Source organism: Homo sapiens, chromosome 3 (assembly GCF_000001405.40).
Source record: "Homo sapiens chromosome 3, GRCh38.p14 Primary Assembly".
Classification (NCBI taxonomy): domain Eukaryota; kingdom Metazoa; phylum Chordata; class Mammalia; order Primates; family Hominidae; genus Homo; species Homo sapiens.
This window is the reverse complement of record NC_000003.12, coordinates 57,697,415-57,710,086: the sequence shown is the minus strand read 5'-3', so window position 1 is coordinate 57,710,086 and position 12,672 is coordinate 57,697,415.

The window sequence follows — 12,672 nt, the reverse complement described above, 5'->3', positions numbered from 1 at the left end:
GGTCTGTCTTTATGCCAGTACCACACTGTTTTGATTGCTGTAGCTTTGTAGTAAGTTTCGAAAACAGGGAGTATGAGACCTCTACTTTGTTCTTTAAAACCAAATTTTTAATCCACTCTCTCAAATTATTTGTAGGGAGTTGCCATCTCAGTAACACTGTAAAAATTGTACTTCACAGCAATTATTTCTAATGAGAACAAGTCCTCTTTGTAAGTTCTTGACAAGAAGATGTCTAGGAATAACACTGCTAGTTTTGAATATTTGTATTTTCTTTACTTCCTGTAGACAAAGCTCTTACTCACAAGATAATTAGAATTTGCAGTGTTTAAGTCTTTTGTTCAGGCTGGCACTGCCAAAGTGGGAAATCAGCCAAAGAAGACTTCCTGGATTAAGTTTAACTTAGGTAACTAACGTTTGCACTCCCAGACTCCATTAGTTTGCCCAGAAGAGAGAAGAGAACAAACATGTTCAAAACAAGCTGTTTGGGATTTTGCTCAGGCAAAGTCGTTGCACATTCAAGAAAAAACAAAAGTCAATGAGAGAAAAACCATGACAGAAAGTTGAAGCCAAACTCTGAGAACTGAGGCAGAGTCTTGGCTGTTGTACCTCTATAAATGATTTTTTAAAAGAGAGAGAGAGAATCACACTTATTTTAGTGTGGTCTTGGAGATTCTCTCTCCATTTCAGGTTGTGCTGAAGAAAAATTATAGTTCAAGAAACTTCTTGGTATTTTGCTTCTCTTCTAACAGAGGTAGGGTGGGGTAATAAGAAAGAATGTTGGACTGTGTCTAAGAGGTCTGTTTTCTAGTGGGATTTTGCCACTGACTTGCTATGGGAACTAAGTCACTGGCTCGCTGAACTGTAATTTCCTCCACACGTGTTGACAGAATTGTCACATCTCCAAAAACTCTTACAGCTTTAATAATATTACAGATTTTTTAAACCTCTTCTAGATATTATTTATTTTTATTCTGTAATTCTCAGGGAACACTGAATAACTTATTTGCATACATGTTTTATCTGTCCTGCTAAATTATAAAGTCCTAAAAAAATCTTACTCAGTTTGCTCTCCCTCAGAGTTTAGCATTGCATTTTTCACAAATGAAACAAATATTTGAAGGAGGGGAGAATGAATTGAGCTATCTCTTTTTGGTTTTTGTTGTTTTTTGTTTGTTTGTTTTTGTTTGAGACGGAGTTCCCTCTGTCGCCCAGGCTGGAGTGCAGTGGTGTGAGCTCAGCTCACTGCAACCTCTGCCTCCCCAGTTCAAGTGATTCTCCTTCCTCAGCCTCCTGAGTAGCTGGGATTACTGGCATGCACCACCACAGCCAGCTAATTTTTGTATTTTTAGTAGAGACTAGGTTACACCATGTTGGCCATGCTGGTCTCAAACTCCAGCCTCAGGTGATCCACCAGCCTCGGCCTCCTTCCAGACCTCAGGTGATCCACCAGCCTGGGATTACAGGCATGAGCCATCACGCCCAACCGCTGTCTCTTTTTGTTTTGAAGATTATTTTTCATGAGAATTGTTTATTTTTTGGTGAGATAAATATCCTTTACTAGGTGATAATGATTATATTATAGTAATGATATTTCCCCTATTTTATCCTATTAAAAATAATTTGTTGGCCGGGCATGGTGTCTCACACCTGTAATCCCAGCACTTTGGGAGGCCGAGGTGGGCGCATCGCCTAAGGTCGGGAGTTTGAGACCAGCCTAACCAACATGGAGAAACCCCGTCTCTACTAAAAACACAAAATTAGCCGGGCATGGTGGCACATGCGTGTTATCCCAGCTACTCAGGAGGCTGAGGCAGGAGAATGGCTTGAATCCGGGAGGCAGAGGTTGCGGTGAGCTGAGATTGCGCCATTGCACTCCAGCCTTGGCAACAAGAGCGAAACTCCGTCTCAAAAAAAAAAAAAAAAGAAAAAAATTAGCCAAGGATGGTGGTAACTGCCTGTAGTCCCAGCCACTCGCCTGAGGCAGAATGATCGCTTGAACCCAGGAGGCAGAGATTGTAGTGAGCTGAGATGGCGCCACTGCACTCCAGCCTGGGCAACAGAGTGAGACTCTGTCTTAAAAAAAAAAATTGTAGATTATTTTATTTTAAAATTTTTGTAGGTACACCGTAGGTATATATACTTATAGGGTACATGAGATATTTTGATATAGGCGTGCAATGCATAATAATCACATCATGGTAAATGGGGGTATCCATCCCCATCTACTTTCCATACCCATTAACCATCCCCACTTCCCCCTATGCCTCCACTACCTTCCCCAGCCTCTGGTAACCATCCTTCTACTCTGTCTCCATGAGTTCAATTGTTTTAATTTTTAGCTCCCACAAGTAAGTGAGAGCATGTGGTTTGTCTTTCGGTGTCTGGCTTATTTCACTTAACATAATGACCTCCAGTTCCATCCATATTGTTGCAAATGACAGGATCTCATTCCTTTTTATGGCTGAATTGTACCCCATTGTATCTGTACCATATTTTATTTATCCATTCATCTGCTGATGGACCCTTAGGTTGTTTTTGTAGATTATTTTAGGATATAAAAATCCAGAAACAATTCATTAGGTAACTATTGTATCATATGGCTTTTTTGGGGGCAAATAAACTCTAAGGGAAGATTCCTTTTTTATTTTTATCTTTTTTTGATAGAGAGTCTTACTCTGTTGCCCAGGCTGGCATGCAGTGGCGCGATCTTGGCTCACTGCAACCTCCGCCTCCCGGGCTCAAGCGATTCTCCCGTCTCAGTTTCCTGAATAGTTGGGATTACAAGCGTGCACCACCAAGCTGGGCTAATTTTATTTTATTTATTTATTTTTAAATTTATTTTATTTTATTTTTTGAGACAGAGTCTCACTCTGTCGCGTAGGCTGGAGTGCAGTGGCGTGATCTCCACTCACTGCAAGCTCCGCCTCCCAGGTTCAGGCCATTCTCCTGCCTCAGCCTCTCAACTAGCTGGGACTACAGGCGCCCGCCACCATGCCCGGCTAATTTTTTGTATTTTTAGTAGAGATGGGGTTTCACTGTGTTAGCCAGGATGGTCTTAATCTCCTGACCTCGTGATCTGCCCACCTCAGCCTCCCAAAGTCCTGGGATTACAGACATGAGCCACCGCACCCAGCCTCAAATTTTTTGTATTTTTAATAGAGACCCGGTTTCACCATATTGGCCAGGCTGGTCTCAAACTCCCAACCTCAGACAATTCGCCCACTTCGGCCTCTCAAAGTGCTGGGATTACAGGTGTGAGCCACTGTGCCCTGCCGGGAAGATTTTATATAAGCACTTGGCATGGTAAAAGACTAATGTAATGAATCAGGACTTAAAAGACTAATGTAATGAATCAGGACTATTAACCATGTGTAATCATATTAGTCAGGACTCTTACAGTTGCACATGTCAGAAGATCTAGCTCAAGCTGGCTTCAATCTAAAAGGAAAATTTATTGACTCATGTATGTGAAAAGTTCAGCCTTGGCTGAATCCAGGGTTGAATGATGTCATTTGGACTTTGTCTTCCTCTTTCTATTTCTTGGCGTTTTCTTTGTTGGGTATGCTCTTCCTTTAGAGTGATAAGGCTCCAAGCTTATATTCTATCCTTTCAGCAATCCCAGTGTCAGGACAGTGCCTCCTTCAGAACAGTTCTAATGACCCCCAGAGTTGAGTTGCATTGTTTGATCGGGTCATGCATGGGGATATGCCTGCACCCATCATTGTTCTAGGTATATAGAATACACTGATTGTCTAGGCCTGGGTTACATGCGCATGCTGGAATCCAGGAGTAGTGCTTACCTCCTCTTGAACCTCATGGACTGAGATCACTGGGGAGGTGGCTCCCCATTAGAAAATTGGGGACTTTTTTATTTATTTATTTATTTATTGAGACGGAGTTTCCCTCTGTCTCCCAGGCTGGCTTGCAGTGGCACGATCTCGGTTCATTGCAGTCTCGCCTCCTGGGTTCAAGTGATTCTCCTGCCTCAGTCTCCCGAGTATCTGGGATTACAGGCGCACACCACCACTCCCGCCTAATTTTTGTATTTTTAATAGAGATGGAGTTTCAACATGTTGGCTAGGCTGGTCTCAAGCTCCTGACCTCAGAGGATCCTCCCACCTTGGCCTCCCAAAGTGCTGGGATTACAGGTGTGAGCCACTGTGCCTCGTCGAAAACTGGGGACTCTTAAGCAGAAGAGGGTACAATGGATGATGGGCAAGTAAAGGCAGTGGGACTCCATAACTAAACTAACAACAACAACAACAACAAAATCCTAGTTTTGCAAAACAGAACTTTGTGTTGTTGTTTGAGACAGGGTCTCACTCCCATTGCCCAGGCTGGAGTGCAGTGGGACGATCTTGGCTCACTGCAGCCTCGACCTCCCAGGCTCAAGCAATCCTCCCACCTCAGCTTCCTGAGTAGCTGAGACTACAGGTGCATGCCACCATACCTGGTTACTTTTTTGTATTTTTAGTGGAGACAGGGTTTCACCACATTGCCCAGGCTGGTCTTGAACATACCTGGCCTCAAGCAATCAGTCCGCCTCAGCCTCCCACAGTGCTGAGATTATAGGTGTGAGCCACTGCTCCTGGCCAAAACAAAAATATTTAAGAAAAAATAGTAATCTTTACTTTAATTCATAAATACACCAGTTTAATTTGCTAATTAGGCAATTTTTTGGTTGTCAGAAAAACTGGACATGAAAAAAGTTTTGTTATATGGATTATCAATACTTGTATTAATTAAAAGTGTCATGATCTCTTTAATAAAAGAGATCTAGGTTCTTATGTACTTCTGCGTTCCATTAATTCCATTGTGTACCTGTCATGTAGTCACTTGGAAACTCCACTATTTACTTGAGAATTGTGAAAAAGGCCAAATAATGTCTTTTTTTGAGATAGAATATTGCTCTGTTGCCCAGGCTGGAGTGCAGTGATGTGATCTTATCTCATGCAACCTTTGCCACCCAGGTTCAAACGATTCTCCTGCCTCAGCCTCCCAAGTAGCTGGGATTACAGATGCACGCCACCACACCTGGCTACTTTTTGTACCAAATAGTATCTTAACGTTGTTACGACAATTTTTTTCTTCTTTTTCCTTTAAAGATGTGGTCTCACTATGTTGCCCAGGCTGGTCTCAAACTCCTGTCCTCAAGCAGTTCTCCTGCCTCAGACTCCCAAAGTGCTAGGATTACAGCATGAGGTATGAGCTACTGTGCCTGGCCATTATGACAAATTTTGACCTCATGGGCACTCTGAAAGGGTCTCTGCCTCCCAGGTCAAAGGATCACACTGTCTTCATAGACCTGCTCTTATTCAGTGTCTTCTGTAATTTCTTATAAATTTCAACAGGGGCCAAGCACCATGGCTCACGCCTGTAATCTCACTACTTTGGGAAGCCAAGGCAGAAGAATCAGTTGAGGTCAGGAGTTCAAGACCAGCCTGAGCAATATAGTGAGACCCCCACCTCTAAAAAATTTTTTTTAAAATTAGCTGGGTGTGGTGGCATGTACCTATAGTCCTAGCTACTTGGGAGGCTGAGGTGGGAGGATTGCTTGAGCCAGGATATTGAGGCTGCAGTAAGTAAACTATGATCACACCACTGTGCTACAGTCTGGGTGACAGAGCAAGACTCTGTCTCTCAAAAAAAAAAAAAAATTCAATGGGCATCTGGTCAACCGAGCAGTCTATTTTTTTTTTTTAATTTTTTTACTGTTTCTTAAGTTGTGGTTCTGGGATGACACATGAGAATTTGCATTTTAACCATTTCCCAGATAATTCAAAAGCCTTTAATTCAGGAACAGCAGACTTTTCTGTTTCTCTCTGATTTACTCCAAAGAGCAAGTTTAAAAAGAAGTCCAAAGTGCCCAAGCATAAGATTTTCAAGCCCTTTTCATAATTATCTTCCAAAAATAGTACATCATTAACTTCACCAACTCTCCCTGCTAAATAAAAAATCCAACATTACATATTAAGTGTCAATCACCAAAAGTCAAGTAAGGTTCCTCTTCTCTTCCCACATCAAAGTTATTTGGAATACTGAGAGAATTTGAACAAAGTGAATGCTGAGTACTACTAGTCTTTCTTCAAAAGAACAAACCTATTTTCAAGTCTGTTTTTATATAAAAGTAATTAAGAAGTCAACTCTAAACACAAATTTGTTTCTAACTTCTACATACTATTTGAACTTTCTGATGTAGTTTTGCACATGGTAAAAGTTCTAATGAAAAAGCTGACTTACGTCAGTTACAAATTGCATTTGGCTGCCAGTGACAGATCTAAGTAACAGTGCCTTAAACAGATAAGTTAGTTTTTCTTGTGTGACGAGAGGTTCAGAGGCAGACTGTTGCTGGCATTGGTTTGGCACCTTATGGATGTGACTCTCTTGATATTTTCTTTATAGTCCCAAAATGGCTGCTGAAATTTTGGCCTTCATGTCCAGGATGGCAGTAGGAGGAAGCAAAGGGGTAAAAGGGCAACAAGCATGGGCGAGGTGGCTCATGCTTCTATTTCCAGCACTTTGGCAGGCCAAGGCGGACAGACCTCTTGAGTCCAGGGGTTCAAGACCAACATGGGGAACATGGAAAAACCGCATCTCTGCAAAAATACAAAAATTAGCTGGGTGTCGTGGTGCATACTCATAGTCCCAGCTACTTAGGAGGCTGAGGTAGATCAATTGAACCCACAGGGCAGAAACTGCAGTGAGCTGAGATAGCACCGTTGCACTCCAGCCTGAGCAACAAGTGAGACCTTGTCTCAAAAAAACAAACAAACAAACAAAAACCCCAAAAACAGAAAACTCCAAAAGGGCAACAAGTACTTACTTTATTTATTTTTTTCTGCTTGCTTCTTGAAGGATATAACCAGGTATTCTGATCAGCACTTATTTTTCATATGGTTACATATATCTTCAATGGAGTCTGAGAAATACAGTATTTTACTTGGGATCAGTACCACCCCAGATTTAACCAGCCTGTATTACATACATATTTGTGTGTGTGTGTGTGATGTGTATCTGTGTGTGTATATATATGTGTATGTATGTGTATGTATATGTGTGTGTATATATACATATATATATATATATATATATATATATATATTTATTTATTTATTTATTTTTTTAGAGACAGGGTCTCAGTATGTTGCCAAGGCTGGTCTCGAACTCCTGGGCTTCAGTGATCTTCCCACTTCAGTCTCCCAAAGTACTGGGATTACAGGCATGAGCCACCGTGCCTGGCCAGCCTGCATTACTAAGGAGAAAGGGAATAATGGATAATGGCTGTCTTGGTCAGCTCTGCTGCCCTAACAAAATTCCACAGACTAGGTTGCTTAAACAGCATGTATTTATTTCTCACAGCTCTGGAGGCTGGGAAGTTCAAGATAAAGTGCCAAGCAATTCGATTCTTGGTGAGGCCTGTTTTCCTGGCTTGAAAATGGTAGCGTCTTCACTGTGTCCTCACATCCTCACATGGTGGAGAGACAGCAAGCTCTAGTCTCTATTCCTCTTCTAGTAAGTACACTAATCTCATCATGGGGGGACCCCCACCCTCATGAACTTATCTAAACCTAATGACCTCCAAGAGACCTCACTTCCAAATACCATCACATTGCGGGTTAGGGCTTCAATGTATGAATTTTCGGGGAACACAAACATTCAGTTCATAACATTTTACTCCTGCCCCCCAAAATTCATGTCCTCTCATGCAAAAATACATCCATTCCCCCAGGCGCAGTGGCTCAGGCCTGTAATCCCAGCACTTTGGGAGGCCGAGGCGGGTGGATCACGAGGTCAGGAGTTCGAGACCAGCCTGACCAACATGGTGAAACCCCGTCTCTACTAAAAATACAAAAAATAGCCGAGCGTGGTGGTGCACACCTGTAATCCCAGCTACTCAGGAGGCTGAGGCAGGAGAATCGCTTGAACCCAGGAGGCGGAGGTTGCCTTGAGCAGAGATCACACCACTGCACTCCAGCCTGGGTGACAGAGGGAGACTCCGTCTCAAAAAAAAAAAAAAAAAAAAAACCATTCCATCCCAATAACTCGAAAAGTCTTATCTTGTTCCACCATCAACTCTACCTGAAGTTGAAACACTTATTTAAATACCGTCTAAATCAGATATGAGTGACACTTGAGGCAGAGTCAACCTAAGACAAAATTCCTCTCCAGCTACGATCTTCTGAATCAGATAACTATGTGCTTCCAAAATACAATGGTCACACAGGCATAGAATAGATACAGTAGTTTCCCCTTTTCCATAGGGAATATGTTCCAAGGCCCCACAGTAGATGCTTAAAGCTGCAGATAGTACCAAACCATATATACACTAAGTTTTTCCCTATATATAAAACATCATAATGATAAAGTTTAGCTTATAAATTAGGCACAGTAATAGATTAATAATTGATAACAAATGTAACAAGTATAACAATACTGTTCACAATTTCACAGATAGATTTGTTCTTACTGTAGATCTTAACAACCTCAGCATATGAGTTTTTTCTTTGCTTATTAAGTCAAGAACTTTTGGCCAGGCACCGTGGCTCACACCTGTAAACCCACCAGTTTGGGAGGCCAAGGCAGGAAGATTACTTGAGGCTAGGAGTTTGAGACCAGTCGGGGCAACATGGGGAGACCTCATCTCTACAAAAAAAATACAAGCATTAAGTGGGTGTGGTGGCCTATGCTTGTAGTCTCAGATACTTGGTAGGCTGAGCTGGGAGGATCGCTTGAACCTGGGAGGCTGCAGTGAGCCATGATAGCGCCACTGCACTCCAGCCTGGCAAGACCCTGTCTCAAAAAAAAAAAAAAAGAACGTCTACCTTTTCACTTAAAAGAAACACTTTATGGTTTCTCTTTGGTATATCCTAATTGCCAGCATCACTGCTCTTGCACTTTGAGGCCATTCATTTTTAAGTAAAATAAGGGTCACTTGAATACAAGCACTGCGATACTGTTAACAGTTGATCTGATAATGCAGACAACTACTAAGTGACTGACAGTAGAGTTGCATATAACAGGGGTCCCCAGTCCCCCAGGCAAGGGACTGGTACTGAACTCCATGGCCTCTTAGGAACCGGGCCACACAGCAGGAGGTGAGCGGCGGGCCAGTGAGTGAACTTCATCTGTATTTACAGCCGCTCCCCATTGCTGGCATTACCGCATGGGTTCTGCCTCCTGTCAGATCAGCAGTGGCATTAGATAGATTCTCATAGGAATGCGAGCCCTATCGTGAACTGCGCATGCAAGGGATCTAGGCTACCTGCTCCTTAGGAGAATCTAATGCCTGATATCTGTCCCTGTCTTCCATCACCCCCAGATGGGACCGTCTAGTTGCAGGAAAACAAGCTCAGGGCTCTTGCTGATTCTACATTATGGTGAGTTGTATAATTATTTCATTATATGTTACAATGCAATAATAATAGAAAGAAAGTGCACAATAAATGTAATGCACTTGAATCATATGAAAACCATCCCCCCATTCTGGTCTGTGGAAAAATGTTGGGGACATATACAACATGGATACCGTGGACAAAGGGATGATTCACTTCCTGGGCAAGATGGACCACCCTGGGATTTCATTATGCTACTCAGAATGGTACATAATTTGAAACTTAAGAATTTTAAAAATATTTTTATATTTTTATTCTTTCTTTTACCTTGCAGCTCCAGTTCAAAGGAATTAATGTATTATTGTTATTATTATTATTATTATTAAGACAGAGTTTCGCTCTTGTTGCCCAGGCTGGAGTGCAATGGCATGATCTCGGCTCACTGCAACCTCAGCTCCCTGGGTTCAAGCAATTCTCCTGCTTCAGCCTCTTGAGTATCTGGAATTACAGGCATGTGCCACCACGGCTGGCTAATTTTGTATTTTTAGTAGAGACGGGGTTCCTCCATGTTGGTTAGGCTGGTCTCGAACTGCCAACCTCAGGTGATCCACCTGCCTCAGCGTCCCAAAGTGCTGGGATTACAGGTGTGAACCACTGCGCCTGGCCTATTTCCTGGCACTTCTATGCCTTATAAGGAAAGACTACTAATTTACTGTGCATAATCTAAAGTTTTGTTTTCTGACTCCTTTTTATCTTTTCCTTCTATTCTATTAACCTATGGTGTTTTGTTTTCTGCTCTTGTCATGCTCTGCCTCAAGCAACCTCTTTGTTCTTCTTATTTGCTTCTTAGTCTGGGAAACCAGACAAGTAAATCTATTAAAATTATGTGTAAATTTATTATTACTTTTAAGGCTAGTCAAAGCAGTGGGAGTAGAAAAGGAACAAAGAAATCTCTAATTGGTTGCGCCACTGCACTCCAGCCTGGGTGACGGAGCAAGACTTGGTCTCAAAAAAAAAAAGAAGAAGAAATCTCTAATTGGTAGTGTTCAATTAGTTTCAATTAGTTGTAAACACCACTGCACTTGGACCAGCCAGAACTATGTGTAAACCTAGACAAAATAACTTATGAGTGAAGACCTCACATCTCTTTGATTGAAGAGTATGCATTTGATTATAGTCTCCGTTTTGCATTTTGGCTTATATTGAGCCTATTAAACCCACTTCCTAGTGCTAACTGCATCAGACAGTTGGAAAAGTAACCTTTATTTTTATTTTACTTATTTTTTTTTAATAGAGACAGGATCTTGCTCTGTTGCCCAGGCTGTAGTACAGTAGCGTGATCATAGCTCACTGCAGCCTTGAACTCCAGGGCTCAAGAGATCCTCCTGCTTCAGCTTCCCAAGTAGCTGGGGCTATAGGTGTTGGCTACCATGCCCAGCTAATGTTTTAAATTTTTTTGTAGAGATGGAGTCTCCCTATGTTGCCCAGGCTGGTCTCTAACTCCTCCCACAGTTTGGCCTCCCAAAGTATTGGGATTACAGGTGTGAGCCACTGCACCTAGCCAAAAAGTAACCTTTAAATAAGTGGAGTGTTATCTTTACTTTCTTAAGCTAAGAGTGCATTACACTTAAGAAACATTTTTATGTTAACTTTTCATGTATTCATACAAGTGACAGTAAAAGGAAAATTCTTTAAAATAAGGAAAGAGCAGTTCAAGATGCTTTTGTTTTGTTTTTTTTTTTTTTTGTTTTTGAGACAGAGTCTCGCTCTGTCGCCAGGCCGGAGTGCAGTGGCGTGATCTTGGCTCACTGCAACATCTGCCTCTTGGGTTCAGGTGATTCTGCTGCCTCAGCCTCCCAAGTAGCTGGGACTACAGACATGTGCCACCACGCCTGGCTGATTTTTGTATTTTTAGTAGAGACAGGGCTTCACCATGTTGTCCATGATGGTCTCGATCTCTTGACCTTGTGACCCGCCTGCCTTGGCCTCCTAAAGTCAAGATGCTTTTTTAAAGTGCATTCATGGCCGGGCGCGGTGGCTCACCCCGTAATCCCAGCACTTTGGGAGGCCGAGGCGGGCAGATCACGAGGTCAGGAGATTGAGACCATCCTGGATAACACGTTGAAACCCTGTCTCTACTAAAAATAAAAAAAATTAGCCAGGCGTGGTGGCAGGCGCCTGTAGTCCCAGCTACTCAGGAGGCTGAGGCAGGAGAATGGCGTGAACCTGGGAGGCAGAGCTTGCAGTGAGCCGAGATCGTGCCACTGCACTCCAACCTGGGTGACGGAGGGAGACTCCGTCTCAAAAAATAATAATAAAATAAAATAAAGTGCATTCATTCATTCATTAAATATTTACTGAGTGCCTGCCACATGCCAGGCATTGTATCAATAATAAGAATGTAAAAACGAAAACAAAAAAACAGCTCTTCATTATTTTTTCTTTCTTTCTTTTTTTTTTGGAACGGTCGAGGGGACAGCATCTCACTCTGTTGCCCAGGCTGTGCAGTGGTGCAATCACAGCTCACTGCTGCTTTGACCTCCTGGGCTCATGTGATCCTCCAGCCTCAGCCTCCTGAGTAGCTAGGACTACAGGTGTGTGCTGTCATAATTCTGGCTTTAAAGAATCCTCTTGCCTTGGCCTCCCAAAGTGCTGGGATTAGAGGTCTGAGCCACCACCACACCCAACCACCATTTTTTAAAGCTGTCACAACCTGGGAAAACTTCATAGTGCATTTTATTTTTTATTTTATTTATTTATTTTTTTTAGATGAAATCTTGCTCTGTTTCCCCGGCTGGAGTATAGTGGTGAAATCTTGGCTTACTGCAACCTCTGCCTTCCAGGTTCAAGTGATTCTCCTGCCTCAGCCTCCTGAGCAGCTGGGATTTCAGGCGGATGCCACTATGCCCAGCTAATTTTTATATTTTTAGTAGAGATGGGGTTTCACCATGTTGGCCAGGCTGGTCTCGAACTCCTGACCTCAAGTGATCCGCCTGCCTTGGCCTCCCAAAGTGCTGGGATTAAAGGCATGAGCCATGGCGTCTGGCCCTGATCGTGCATTTTATAGTTTTCTTTGGCTGGATCCTCCCTTCAAAATCTGTATTTGAGCATTTTTGTCTTCCAGAGAAGTACAGCAGTAAACTTAGTTTTCTATTGATAACACATTGGTATTGGGCCTCTGTGTATATTTCCATGTATTTTTTTCACCACCGCAAGTATAGTTATGTCCCAGCAGCCCTGGCAGCATTTACCTTAAGTGCAAGAGGGAAGTCCCCTGGCTGCCCATCTAGGTAAATATCTAGGACATTTGGACTCCCTGTGGGTCCTTTTGGTAAAACTA